The 15,983-nt window shown below is 36.0% G+C and overlaps 1 protein-coding gene across 7 annotated transcripts in view; it reads right to left on the minus strand.

Annotated features, from left to right (window-relative positions):
- PCLO (piccolo presynaptic cytomatrix protein) overlaps positions 1–15,983 on the minus strand; it is a 408,873-nt gene that overhangs the window by 386,944 nt on the left and 5,946 nt on the right. For all 7 annotated transcript variants that reach the window (XM_017012006.3, XM_047420211.1, NM_033026.6 and 4 more), the window contains exon 2: positions 13,793–15,437. In XM_017012006.3, coding sequence (XP_016867495.1) covers positions 13,793–15,437 — 1,645 coding nt within the window. The remainder of the gene's footprint in view (positions 1–13,792; positions 15,438–15,983) is intronic.

The following is a 15,983-nucleotide window of genomic DNA, read 5'->3' on the forward strand; positions in this document are numbered from 1 at the left end:
ACAGCCATAAATGAAAATCTTAGATGATTTTAGTCCTTATCACTTCCTCCCCATGCCTGATTCACAGAAGATGGAGAAGTTAGGCAGACAATCTCTGCAGCCATGCCTGATTCACAGAAGATGGCTTCCACAAAGGTTTCCTAAAGAACTTCCCAAATGCCCTGTCAAAAGTGGCACTGCCTCTCCAACATGATACTACAATCCACATCCATTTGACAAATGGTGGGAGAAACGGAATAAACTCTACCAGGAGAGCCTACAACGATATCAATGTGTCCTGAAACAACTCTTAGTTCCATGTGCACACATTAAAAGGGAAGAATCCAACTGTCTTAGATAGATGTCAAGCCTGAACTTTTCCTAAATTCCAGACTTTATATGACAAATAAGGAAAAATAGCCATCTTTGCTTTCCCTATCTATAGCCTTACTTACAGAAGGTGCATAAATGAAATTCAAGGTGTGAAGATACAACTGTTTAGTGAGCTACTTAAACTCAATTATCTCTATGGAAAGGAACAAAAGAAAGGCATAAAAGTATTTGTTCCTTTAGTCTTCTGATTTAATGTGCTATATAAATGGGGGTAAGAAGATGATCAGACAGGATTTCTGCTCATTCTGAGGCCACTGTGTATTCTAATGTGGATTTGCATATAATTCCAACACTGCTGTCTGCTTAATTCAATCCTTGTGGTTTTATTTTGTTAAGCCTTTGTTATGTATGAGAGGTGTCAAATATAGTAATACAAGTTCATTGGCTAAAGTCTTTGATAGATAATCATAAGCACCCTATTTAGATTTTTCAAAAAGTACTACTTGAAGGTTTAATTGTGAACTTCACATAAAGAGTATCAATTAATGGTGCCCTTTTCAAAATAAAGTATCAAAGCTATTGATTACCAAAAAATTATATTCTGATTTTTAAGAGTGTATCTTCAATAATGACTCAAAATAATCAGTTTGATACATCTAAGCAATGAAGTGAATTGATAAAATTTGGGGGTTTCAAAACTAAAGAATATTCCTGCTCAGAATTATTATTAATTTATTAAGATTCAAAACAGAATGGAAGCCCTGCCCCCCTCCCCCCGACACACACACACAATTCCAGAAAGCATAATGACCAACATCCTCTCTTCTATGTAACTCTAACTGGAAAATTTAAACACATCAACATAATATTCATAATATGATCTCTGCTCAATTACATAGCCGTAGTACTTGGAATAATGAAACATCAGAAGAACAAACACAATGTTAGGAATTTATATTTGCTCCTTTTTGTACTGTTCACATCAGCTGTTAAATAAATTTTCTTCAATCGTGCTATTTTCCTGTCTTTGTACAATAAAACCTGTTGGGCTCTTACTTTTAAACTCATCACAACTAAACTTTTCTGCAAACCGTAACATCTAAATGGACTATTTACTCCATCAAAGCAGTATTCCCATTCTCTCTTACCTGAGTAAGAGATTCCCAGTCAACTTTGGGCTCCTCTCATGTTTATGTAAATGCTATCCATCTTTTACAATCCACATTGAATTTCCTTTCCTCCTTTGTCATGTATTATTCCATCATCAATGAACATCTGCTGTTTTTCAACTATTACAGTACCATTATACCCCGAACCACAGCATTTAAATTCAAATATGTAGTGATTTACAGTATTTTCCAATTGTTTCCTCTTGTCTCCTCATATAAACTTTTAAAAAGTGCAAACATGGCCAGGCATGGTGGCTCACATCTGTAATCCCAGCACTTTGGGAGGCCAAAGCAGGCGGATCACCTGAGGTCAGGAGTCCAAAACCAGCCTGGCCAATATGGTGAAACCCCGTCTCTACTAAAAATACAAAAATCAGCCCGGCATGCTGGCATGTGCCTGTAATCCCAGCTACTCGGGAGGCTGAGGCAGCAGTATCGCTTGAACCAGGAGATGGAGGTTGCAGTGAGTTGAGATCATGCCACTGCAATCCAGCCTGGGAGACATAGCAAGACTCCATCTCAAAAAAAAAAGAGCAAACACTTATGCTTACTTTTACCTCTATGTTGGATACCAAGTAATTTTTAGATATTATTTAACGGTAAACTATGCAAAAGGCTTTTCTCCTATTTCTCATCATATTATTTTAAAATACTTATTGAAGACCTTCTATTACTTTGAATACCAAAAATATATAATATAACCAGACTAGAGGTTTTAAAAATCAGTATTAGGAAGATGAAATTGAGATAAAGTTTGATAACAGATTATGTTTTGTGCTACTCAAGGACTACTCAAGCCACATGAGCTCCCCGACAGAGGCAGTTACTCCCCAACAGCAGTTTGGATTGAGATGACTCACTGTAGTTGACATCTTTAGCTATTCATATTCATGCATAATTTATTTTGGTTAAAAACTAGACACTAGCATTCCTCAGAACTGTGATGGCATACTCAGCAACTTAATAAAACAATTTTCTTTAAAATAATACATCCAGAAATTGAATGGACATCTCCTCTCTGAAATTGCATGGATTACAATTTCTGCTATGTAATTCAGTAGCCATAAACAAACCTTGTAAAACATAAACTAAATATGCACTCTTTTCACAATAATGCTAACTGAATGCTAGCAATAAAATTTCTAAATCATTACAAATAGGATCAAGTGATAAAAGCATATTTTAATATGTTTGTCAGGATTGCCCAAAAAAAAAAAAAAAAAAACCTGACACTTTCACCAAAGCACAATTTGTAAAATAATTACAGTACACGGACATGAAAGTGTATCCATACCGTATCACAATTACACAAAGAGAGGAGGATCTCAAATCAGTAAATTGAACTTACATGCATTATGCATTAACACTTCTAAACTGCCTCTCGTGGTGAATTCAAACTTTTACACCTCAGTTGATTAACACACACCTAGATATACCACAAAATATTGCAGCTTGTGATCCAAGGGTTCCAATTAGACAGTGTTTGTGGAAGTATCTGAATAGTTTATTGCATTGTCCTCTTATTATTTCATTTAGAAATAACAAAAGATTATATTAGTGAAAAGAATCAAAGGTCTAAATATGAACTCATTCTATATGCTGAAAGCAGCATATCTTTAAATCAGACGCTCACTAGGATTAAGCCAATTAGTTGCATGTTGACTTAAGAAGGAAATAAACATACTTTTAAAAATAGATGAAATCGCCAGGTGCAGAGGCTCATGCCTGTAATCTGCACACTTTGGGAGGCTAAGCGGGGCAGATCACCAGGGGTCAGGAGTTCAAGACCAGCCTGACCAACATGGTGAAACCCTGTCTCTACTAAAAATACAAAATTAGCCAAGTGAGGTGGCACATGCCTGTAATCCCAGCTACTCAGGAGGCTGAGGCAGGAGAATTGCTTAAACCTGGGAAGCAGAGGTTGCAGTGAGCTGAGATCACACCATTGCACTCCAGCCTGCACAACGAGAGTGAAACTCCGTCTCAAAAAAAAGATAAAAATATATGAAATCCTTAACTATATTAAGGCCTCTATAAAAAGAATGTTCATAAGGAACTTTTAGCCTATTTTAGCTCTCTGTGAATAGATGCTCCTTACAACTGTCAATTATTAAAATTTTACATAGATATATGTATAACCACTTAACAGTATATTTAAAAAAAATCTCATTTTAAAATTATGATTAATCCGATTAATCTGCATTACATTATTTTCAAAAATGTTTTACAAATCTTATCTACATTTTTCATTGTCATTTATTTCCTTCTGACTATTTCTTTAACCCATTTACAGGATAGATTAACTATCCTATCAATAAGTTAAAAACTTTAAATAAATTTAAAAAGATCTACACATTAAAAATTTTCCCCAAAAATACAATTACAGAACATGTTCACATAGTAAAGCCTGCTACTTGATTTCTTTAAGTTACGTTGCATAAGTAGAAATCTGTTCATAAGAGTTGTTTTAAGTATTTAACTGGTAATGCTTACTTTGCTGAACAAAGAGTAGAAGTGTCATATTTCTGTAAATGGTATTGCAAGTGATTTTTTTATTAGAGAGAGAAAGAATAGGAAAGGTACTTTACTACTTTATATTGAAGTGAGAACTGATCTCATCTATATGTACTTTTTCATATTCTCTTTTATAAACAAGATTCCATCTTAAATTGCTAAGCATTTGGCTCTCTTTTTAGACTCTGGATTCTATTTCTGACAGTGGCCCGTCAAAGTTATGACCTTCATCATCTCTAGTCTCAATTTTGAACAGAGTGGCCTGCTTAGAGTAGGAGTTCACAGCTTTCTTAGAGAACAAAGAAGTATGAATCAATGTAAGTCTCTGGTTTGGACAGAAGTATGTATGAAGGAAAAAACAAGTACTCTTAAACCTTGATTTTTTTTAAACTAAGTATTCTGAAAATATCCCTGCCAAGAACGTTAATTTCTTTTTAACTTTAAGGATATGTAAATATACACACATACATACACTTGCCATAACCTAGAAATTTAGAAAATGGTATGGTGAATCAAGTAATCCAATTAAGGACAATGTGATCTCCTATAAAAAGGTGCTAAATTTTGGGTCAGCGAATCTCACTTCTTGTATGGGATCCATTGCCAAGTAATTCTGTGACTGTGCAAAAGTCATTTAAATTCTTAACCCCAGTTTTCTTATCTACCAATGGAGTCAATAATGATGGTGCTATCCCTATCTGCCTATTAGAATGTTATAAAGATTTTAATTAGTAGTGGTAATAGTAATAACACTGAATGTTTACCTACAATTTTAATTTCAGAGCCCTTCCACTTATACTGCCAAATGTGATTTTTAGCTTACGAATACTCTCACATTACAAATAATGAAACTAAACACTTAAAAAACAATAAAGTCACCTGACCAAATCACACAACAAATAAGTAGCTGATCTAGGTAGGATTCATACCCACATTGCCCAACTTTAAAATCTCATATTTTCCAGTTTTCCAAAGCACCATCTTATGATTAATTTATCAAGAGGGATGGCAGACTTCAAAATACTTTATAATATGAACTCTGATTTTCTTAATCTCTTTACCCATCTTTAAAATGTAGATACCACCTCATTAAAAGAGCATAAAATGACGAAATGCATATAAAGTGCTTCGTGCACAGTTTGAAATGCATGGTGTTCAAACTACAATCTCTCTTCCCTGTGACAAGAGACCAAACTCCTTTCATATTGAAGTAAGATAAAGACAAGAAACATTGTTTGTAGTGAAAATGTTGCTTCCTTATCAAAGGTAACAAGATATACTTTTCGGTGAATTCATAGTCATGTCACTAAGAGTGGACATATGTGAGAGGCAGAACTAGGACCAGAACCCATATTGTTTGACACCTTACTGATGTACTTCATACTATTATTACTTTAAGGATAACCAGTATAAACTTCTAACAAATTATTTACCTCTTTATCTTCAGTGTAATAATATATTAGAATTATTTCTAAATGGAGCTTATATTTATCTAAACTAAGATTAAGATACCAAGAGAATTTAGTTTAGTTATAAATTAAAGATGTGAAATAGGGGAAACTGTTAGATATGTGTGTTTTCTCAAGGAATATAAACAATGAGCAAGTTAACCCTTTACTATATTCAGCTTACTGATCCAATAAATACTTTTTTTTTTTTTTTTGAGACAGAGTTTCACTCTCGTCACCCAGGGTGGAGTGCAGTGGCACGACCTAGGCTCACTGCAACCTCTGCCTCTCGGGTTCAAGTGATTCCCCTGCCTCACTCAGACTCCAGAGTAGCTGGGATTACAGGTGCCCACCACCACGCCCAGCTAATTTTTTGTATTTTTAGCAGAGACAGGGTTTCACCATGTTGGCCAGGCTGATCTCGAACTCCTGACCTCAGATGATCCACCCGCCTCAGCCTCCCAAAATGCTGGGATTACAAGCATGAGCCACCGCACCCAGACCCAATAAATGATCTTAACGGTGGGTATCTGCCTTCACAGCAGAACATCTGTTCCTATCAAGCTACTAATATATAACAACAGGCTTACTAGACATTATGAAAGCTGGCTCTCCAGAAAGATACCTGAAACATCTAGTCATTTAAAAGCTGAAGGTATAAAAAAAAAATAAAAAAAAAAAAGGCTTTGGTTCCAATGATTAAACTTATGTATGTATATAATATTAATATTACATATAATGTATATGCCTAGGTGTATATTAACACATAAATCCAGGGAATATCCAAATCATAAGAAAACAGTGCAAACTGGATCACATCAAAGATGAGAGCTAAACAGAGTGTTTGTAAACGTAATTAAATAATACATGTTTTTAAATGATTGAATTATATTTCTTTAATTTAATTAGAAAACTACTTTAAATAAAGGTAAATTCATTTTGTTATAATTAGGATATTCTCACTTTAAACAGTATGAACAATACCACAGAGATTATCAGAGAATTGCAAAAAACCCAATAAACTTTGTTTTCCAAAAACCTTATGCATAGAATCTAGGTACTTTATTTTTTTCTATTGGCTCCATGCAAACATTAGGACCAGTTAAAGCATACATGGCTGTGACAAGCAAAGAATGAACAAAGAAACTGACCAAACTTGGCATCACAGGCTTAAAATATTTCAAATCCTCATTGTTATTTAGAATGAAAAATCCCTGACATTTCACCAAGAAGAATACCAAGGCTGAAGATGTAAAAATGAAGAATCAAGTCCTTTAACCCTTTATATAATATACTTGTTTAAGCATTTGATGATTTAAAGTTTTTAAATTATACCAGTGTTAATTTTAGTTATAACATGAATTTAAAAAATAAAAAAATAGTGCATAAATGTATGGCATAAAAAGTAAAAGCCTCCCTCACTACCACCAAGCCTTCCTCTCTGGAATCAATCAGTATTAACTTTTGCTTTTAGTTTTTCTTGTGGTAGCCAATAGAATATCAAATAGTAGATTTTGATTTTATTTTTATGTATAAATTGAAAATCTAATGTATTTTTACCTTGTTATCCAAGGTGAATTTTTTCATAAGACAACATTATACTATTATCTGTTTTTAGGAATAGAAATAGCTCCTTATGCTGTGGATTTCATAAAATGCTCATTCCTTTACATCCACATTACAACAGGCAGGAGTGAAGAAAACATCTCAGAGTTATCCACACTCCTGGGTACATTCACACCCTTTCCTTTCTTAGTACCCTTACCCTTGACCCACAGCCTCAGTTAGGACTACAGCCGATTAGAATTTTAGTCACCATTAAAAATTCTAGATTGCCAAGTAACTTATCAATTTCAGACTGTAATCACCCAATAGAAGGGAGTGAGGGAACCCTACAACCCAACCCCATCCCTCTCTTGGAACATACTACAACCCTCCCCTACTTCAATTTTCTTCATAACACATTGTCATCTGTCTCACCATATGTTTTATTTATTTATGACTCTTAATAGAATACATGCTCCATAAGGGAAGGATTTTTTCAACTTTGTTCACTCTCATATTCCCAGAGTCTAGAACACACCTGAAGTATGGTAGATGTTAAGTAAGTAAATACTTTTTTTTCTTTTGTTTTTTAACTCTATGCAATCTGGGAAAATTCTAGGTCCTTATTTTTTAGACCATTAACTGAGTTCCTTTTTTTTTACCCTCAACCAGCCCATTGAAATTTGTGTATGTTAACTATAGAGAAAATATCTTCTTACATATCTCTCAGGAATAGTAAGAATTTTCTTACATTCTTTGAAGAATGAACTTTTTCCTATGAGGTTGATTGTTATTTTTGTTATTGTTTCTGTCAGTTCATATATGTCATTCATGCCATGTTATTGCTAAAATGTCTAGTTAGGCTCTTAATCCACTCATAGGTAATCAACAGTTTTTTGTCTGTTTGTAGACAGTTCTGCTTCCCCATTTGTTCTCTACTTCGAATGAGAGAAAACAGGATGGCAGGGGGTCAGTATCCAAGTAAGGACAGTTTTACTCTGATGGTAATAGTTCAGGGGATTTGACTCATAGATGAGTAATGTTCTATTTGTTTTCTTTTTTGCAATACCCCATTGTGGGAGAGAAGCATCACCTCCACTTCTATTCTTCTTTTTGAAGGTCCTAGTTTTCTCATGGGGGCCCTTCCTCAGGCAGGTCACCCTTTCATTTGTGGATTAATCTCTGGCTTTAGCCTGAAGGGGTTCCTCCTGTACCTTGTCTTCCCAGTGAAGATTAAGAAAGAGACCAATTGTCCTTTTGTTCCTACTGCAGTTCTGAAATTTATTCTTTGACTACTACCACATCCCACTACTGCTTTTTATATTTTTTGATTCCAAGTTAGGGCTTCTCTGAGGTCTCCTGACTAGCCACTTGGACAGTGGTTTTCTCAGCTCTTTTTCCTTTCCATTTTCTTTCTACCTTCAAGGAATTCTTCAACATACCAACTTATGTTTTTGGAGCTCTTTCACATTTCTTGGAATGACTATACTTTAAATCTTTTAGAAAGTGGGACTTGAAGATAGAGGAGATGAGCATTTGTGTGCTCAGTCCTCCTTTTTAAGAGGAACTGTGTGGCAGTTTTTGCTTAGAATTTAAGCTTAAAAAAAAAGTCTCTGTGCTAAAAACAGCAAGCAACTAAAAAGAGAACATCCTCTTTTCTAAAAGTTCTTTCAGTTACTTCACCATCAGGAATGTCTTACAGGCTTTCTCTCTCCACAGATTCCAGCCTCTTGACATTTGGCATAGCTCCACTATTTTCTACCAGCTCTTCTGAACAACTTCTCCCCATTTCTCTTACTAGAAAAATAAGATGCAACAGGATTATCCACGGAAAGGTCATGGGCAGTTAAGCCATTTAACCCAACTGAAGAATTTCAGTCATTATTTTTTTGTTTTGTTTATTAAGTGGAGAAAGTTTATATGAAAGTTGATATATGCAAGTCAAGGAGTTTTTTGTTTGTTTGTTTTAGCTCATTAAAGGTGGCTATGGTTTTGTTAGACAAAATATCTGGCTTCTGCCAAAAGACTTATATATGTGCCATAATGACTAAAAAAAAAATGGCGAGAAAACTTCGCTTAAATCCATTTTAATCCCTAACATTTGGTTCATTTTCAACATTCTGAAAAGTGATAAGTCGTTTTCATTTATTATGAAATTTAATAAGAGTTGGGAAAATTACCAAACATTAGGGACAGGCCTTTAGATCTCTGTTCCTAAATATATCTTGAGTGAGGCTACATACCAAAAGAGATAAAGTAAATCAACGAAAACAATATACTTCTGCCTCCAATTAGAAAGCAAACGTTCAGGTTCTGTGTCAAAATGCATGCCCAAAGAGAGGACAAATATTAGAGAGATTTATTCAATTAATGGGCCACAAGAAGAGATACAGCTATACACCCCTCTGGTCAAGGTCTAGGCATCAAAGGCCTAGGCTTGCAGCCAGTGGATTCTTAAGGTTTGTTTGGAACAGCATACATCTTGATAGCCTCCAGAGAAGGCAGTTAATTTAAAGGTGATCCTCTTCACATAGATGTTTGGGTTGCCTAAAGTGCTCATGTGTGGCAGGGTTGGGTCGGGGAGTGATGATTCGTGAGTTTGGAACTAAGGGAGTAAACATGTCCCCTTCTCTAAAGCTTGTGGCTGAGTGTAGCTAATTATCTAGTCCTTCCTTCCTTCCTTCCTTCCTTCCCAGATCTGGTAGTCATTACAGAGCCATGATGGTCACAAGCAAATATAGTCATAATTCTGATAGATTGGTAACAAAAAATATTAGAGAAATTCTTCCTTTTTTAAGGAATGTTAAGTGTATCTATTTCACCCATACATTACGCAAGCAAAGATTTACATGCATATAAACAACAAGCTGGAAAATAATAAATTCACATAATTGTACCAAAGGATGTCCCTATCTTGCATAGAAAAACTGTTTACTCAATCTGAATACTTGAGGGCAACTTGACCCAGAGTGTTACATCCTCTTTGGAAGATGCAGATTTACTTTTTCATGGATACGTATGAAAGTTATGGTGTTTTACACCACAACTGTGACAGAAGTGGTGGTTGTCCCCAAAATTTCATCAACCTTATCTCCTGTAACAGAAGCTTACAGCCTCTCTCTAGAGCTCTAACTTCTCAATTCTGACCTCCATAAAATTTAGGAGTTAGAGAAACTGGCCATTTGGTAGGCAGTATTAGAAAAGATGCCTTTCTAGAGTTCAGAATTAGACCTTTTGATTGCGTTTTTTCTTATAGGAAAAAAAATCAATGAAAGTTAAAATGAAACGATATCACTAATACTGTTGATCGAATGTCTTTAGATGGCTGCCTCAGCATCTAAGAATTTATGATACTGTTATCTATGTAAAAAAGAATGTACAATAAATTTAAAGGCCAAATTTGTTTCAAATATTAAGATCATCTGTGTTGCCATATATTGCAACTTTAAAAGCACTTCATGTATCTAAAATACCTTCTCATACAAATTTTCAGTTAATCTTCCAGTGTGTCTGGCAGAGAGCATGTTATTATTTTCATATGTCAAATGGTGCCATTGTAACAGAAAGTGTAAATGGCTTGTCCAAGTTTATTCAGTCAATAAGGAAATGCCTTCCTTTACATAGCTAGTGAGCTTCTCTACCTGCCCTTATGTTCCTAGCTTCTTCCATGCTCATTTATGTGTGTTCAAATTCTTATTATCTTTCATATTCCCAGCTCACATACTTCACCTTTCATGAAGATAGCTGTAATATCCCCCACTAATTGTGATGGTTTCTTCCTTTGACCCTGTAACACTTCATCTCTCTTCCTACCATAGGTAAACTGATTTGGAATCGGAATGATTGGCTTCTGTTTGTGAATATACTATCTGGGTGATCCTCACAACTAAACTAACTATAGTAACTACTTGAATGCCAGTTTCCTCATTGGTATAATAGAGAAGAAACACAAAATTATGGGAAGTTTAATTTTAATAAAACAAAGGACTCTGTGAACTGAAAAGCCCTATACAAACTTACTTTTTTTTTTTTTTGAGACAGAGTCTTGCTTTGCTCTGTTGCCCAGGCTGGAATGCAGTGGCGTGATCTTGGCTCACTGCAAGCTCCGCCTCCCCGGTTCAGGCCATTCTCCTGCTTCAGCCTCCCTAGTAGCTGGGACTACAAGCGCCCGCCACCACGCCCGGCTAATTTTTTGTATTTTTAGTAGAGACGGGGTTTCACTGTGTTAGCCAGGATGGTCTCAATCTCCTGACCTCGTGATCTGCCCGCCTCGGCCTCCCAAAGTGCTGGGATTACAGGCATGAGCCACCACGCCCGGCCCAAAGTTACTTTTTATAGAAATAAATATATAGATGTTCTTTTTATGTGCAACTTGTATTTCTCCTATTTATGGTTGAGAGAAGACTGCATATCTAACAAATATTTGATTCTCCCATAGCATTCAATAATGCTTTGTAACTAGGCATTTGATACAAATTAGTACAATGAACCATCAAATGTGTATCATATTAATTGAGGTAACTTTCAAAAAGTAGAAAGCTCATCACTACCTGCTAAATGTGTAAGGCTAAAATCTGACTTCAACCTATCTCCAATCTCATTGCCCATTTCTTTTCCAACACCCTAGCTAACCTACATTTATTCTTGACTCCCTAAAATATACTCTGTACTTTTGTAGCTCCAAGTTTGGGCCCAAATCATTACACTCTTTCATGTCCTATATCTATTGAAATAGTGCCCATCCTTATATGCCCAGCTCAAATGCCATTTTCCCCATGAAGTTCTCCTTAATCTCATCCCCTGGAAATGAGCACTTTCTACTCTGAAGTCCATATTTATTCATATCTCTCACAGCTCTTATAATCTGGTCACATATATTATATTTTCTTGTGCATGTATTATCTCGTGATTTTTAATCTATTAAGATCAACATTCACATTTTAGTTATCTTTATATCTCACCAAACATATAACAGAATATCTTCCACATAGTAGGTATTCAAATAATAACTGTCTTTCTTACATTGGATGTAGAAATAACATATACAGCTTAAATTTCCAGCTGCATATTTCTGCCTTGTAAATTGCCACAAAACCAAGACAAATCCAAACACTATAAAGTGATCATCTATCATCTGAAGTCATTATTACTTCACATTCCTATAAGGAGAGTATAATATGGGGAGAAACATATTTTACCAAGGCTTAAAAAGCTACATATATATATGTATATATAAAAACATATGTATATGTATATATTGTATATATAAACATATGTATATGTATATATGTGTATATATATAAACTACTTATAATCTGATTTCTTCCATAAGTCAAATGCAGCATATTCTTATTAATTGTAGTTTTATAAGTAAATGATTATTTACTTGAAAAGTTAAATTACTCAATATTACTTTTGTTTAAAAAAGTAAAGGTTACTTTAGAAAACAACCAAGAGTTGACATATTTTAAATTTGCATCATTTTTCATAAGTATCCACATTAACATAAATTACCAATGATCATCATTATTGTTATTATCATGATAGATTTCATTTATAACAAAAGTATACAAGCTTCACGTCTCAGGGATATTTAAATCATGTAATCCTTCACTGCCTGCTGTGTTACTTCCTGGGCTGTTTGCAGATGTAATGCACAGATAGCCCACTAACAGCTGTCCTCCAGACAGGCTAAATGATTTCTGTGCCTTCTCATTAAGTAGAGGCTATTAGATCTCTTACAAAAATGAATCCCTCATATTCTCTTAGAGCCTAAACCTCTTCTCTATTTATATGCTGATCATTACCTACTAAATGTGGAAAGCCAAAGTCTGACTCTAACCTATCTCCAACCTCATTGCCCATTTCTTTATACCATCTTCACTGTTTTATTTCTTAATGCCAGAGAATTTCTGAGTTTTTAAAAATGCTTTGTATCTTCTTGTCTCTTCCCCTAAAAAAAAAAAACCTCTGAATCTCTACCTATTAAAATGCTACATTATTCCAGGCCTTTTCATGCTGAACTAATATTAATAAAGTCAGTTAACTTGCTGAGAACTACTCTTCTATCCTCAATCTGAGTAAACAAACTTGTACTCATCTATATCACAATTAACCTTTTTATAATTTGATGAGTCAGAAAGTATTACCCAGCTAACCCTTGGAAACATTAAGGCTACCCAGATTCAAGCCTAGGCGATATAAACTGTCATCTGAGAAGTCAGCCATATATTCTGAACCTGCTCTAACAACTTCTTCATTTTGTGAAATGATTTAATACTGTTATTAAGGACTCTCAACATGCCCTCATTTGATATATCAGAATTACTAGCAGGGAAAAGGGATGTGGAGATTAAAAAACTATATTCAGTTTTAAGTTAAAATTGTATTCAGAATTTGAAAACATTGTCCACTTTTTTTCTAACACAAATATAAATAACATTTATGAATACCAAAATTTTGATAGGTAGGAACACCAATGTAAAAGTTAAAGCAATACCATTGTATGCTAAATAACAGTGTGGGTCTTAAATACAGAGTGAAATGAGTAGATGCCCAGCATCTTTCAATCAATTTATATTTGTCTTATATGTCAAATTTTCAGAAATTGTGGCAATGTTTGAGGCTTCTAGTCAGAGAAATGTTAAAAAAAAATTACAACTGGCAGAAAACAAAACGAACGAAGGAGGGGAGAATCCAGAGAAAGACAATGCCATCATGTCATATATGTGTTTAGTTAAGCATCATTTGTATAAGAGGATGATATGGCTGAAGAGTATGGACTCAGTGAATAAATGCACTTACCTCCGTTAAATGAGGATTGGGATTAAAACCACAGAGACTACAGACAGTGGTTTGACACTCAGTGCATGTGTTAAAATTGGCCTTTTCTGGAACATGCAACAGAAGTTCAGTGGTATTGCAAAGAGGACAGATGGTTTTAGGGAGGCCTTGTGAAGGAGGCTGTTTTGCAGATGGAGACACTGTTGGTGGCTGCAGAGGTTTTCCAGATCCTGTTTGGCTTACTGGTTTTGTAGATTGCTGAGCCGAGGGCTTTGCTGGGCTAGGCTGTTGAGCTGAGGGTTTTGCTGAGCCAGGCTGTTGAGATGGGGGTTTTGTTGAGCCAGGCTGTTGAGGTGAGGGCTTTGCTGGGCCAGGCTGTTGAGGTGGGGGTTTTGTTGAGCCAGGCTGTTGAGATGGGGGCTTTGCTGAGCCAGGCTGTTGAGGTGGGGGCTTTGCTGGGCCAGGCTGTTGAGGTGGGGGCTTTGCTGGGCCAGGCAGTTGTGAAGGAGGCTTTGTTGGGCCAGTCTGCTGGGCAGAAGTCTTTCCGGGTCCTGCCTGTTGAGCTGGAATCTTTCCTGGCCCAGGCTGCTGAACTGGAGTCTTTGTAGGCCCAGGTGCCTTAGCTGGAGACTGTAGCCCAGGTTGTTGAGCTAGGGGTTTTGGTGTCCCCACCTGCTGGGTTGGAGGCTTTGCTGGCCCTGGCTGTTGAGCTGGAGTCTTTCCAACTCCAGGAGGCTGAGCTAAAGCCTTTGGCCCAGGCTGCTCCGATGAAGGCTTCTCTGACCCAGTCTGCTGAGCTGGAGGCTTAGCAGGACCAAGAGGCTGAGCTGGAGGCTTTGTTGTCCCTGGTGGCTGGACTGGGGGTTTCACTGTCCCTGGTTGTTGAGCCAATGGCTTTGTTAGCCCTGAGGGCTGAGCTGGGGGCTTTGCAGGCCCAGGCTGTGATTTTTCATGTCCAGGCTGCTGTGCTGGAGGTTTTCCAGGAGTTGGTTGCTGAATAGGTGGTTTGGATGGGCTTGGCAGTGAGGGTTTAACTGATTCTCCCCTTACTATGTCTGCCTGTTTAGTCTGAGGCCTGGATGCATCTCGTTGAAGTGGCAATTTTGCATGGTCTGTCTGAGGAGTCTGGGTAGGACCCTGAATTGGCTTTCCTGTACCTGGAGGTTGTGATTTAATTTTTTCTGGTTGTTGAGAAGATATTGATTTGGGAGTGCCATCCTGCTGAAGCGGATCCCTACCAGGTCCTTGCTGCTTAGGAATCGGCTTGGGTGGCTGTTGTTGTAAAGGAGGTTTTATGATTCCTTCAGGTTTTCCTTGCTCCTTCTGAACCACTTTTTGTTTCTTGGTGGTTTCTTCCTGGGATGCCTCAGAGTCTGATATCAAATCAAAAGGGTTGAATTTATTTACAACAGAGGAAACAGCACTTAAAGCGTTAACCTCTGAGAGGAAGCCAGGCATCATACTAGACTTGTGCTCTTCCTTTAAATCAGTTCTGGACTTTGATTCTTTCAAGCTAATAGTGGAAGGACTCCTCCCAGGCAATTTCTGCTCTGACCTGAAAGTGTCTGTAGTTCTACTTTTACTGAGACCAGGTTGAGCTGGACGCCCAGGGTCCGGGGGTCTTCCTGATTGCTTTGGAGGATGACTACTATCCAACTCTTGTTTCCTAGAAGAGTTAAAAAAAAAAAAAAAAATCAAGTGAAAATAATGGAAATTATTTCAAATCAAAGTAATACAAAAAACCTATTGCTTATATCTTCAAAATTATGAATGTATAAATATAACTAGAACCCATTTTTGTAGCATCCTTTAAGTGATCATAAAAGTTTTAATGCTTTTTTTTCTTTCTTTAAATGGGTAGAGATTTTCAACAAGCAAGTGAAGAAAAAAAAACTTGCTCTTATGAGTGATAAAAATTAAAATATATAATTAGAAAATACTTATAATAAAAGTAATTTACCTTTGCACTTAATAGAATCTGGCCTTAAAACTTAACTAAATATAGGTTTAAATTAAAACCTCAATAAATCAATACAGAGTCATATTATAAGGCATACATGTTCACAGAGTGTATTTTTTTCTTTTTATCAAAAGTTATGGTCTTTTGATATAAGAAAGTCTTCCAAATGCTAGCAGCATTGAGAATTAAAAATATTCATTTTTAAATATAGGAGTCTGCTGAGACTTCTTAAAAATTTCATTTTGAGAATTT

Source organism: Homo sapiens, chromosome 7, assembly GCF_000001405.40.
Source record: "Homo sapiens chromosome 7, GRCh38.p14 Primary Assembly".
NCBI lineage: Eukaryota > Metazoa > Chordata > Mammalia > Primates > Hominidae > Homo > Homo sapiens.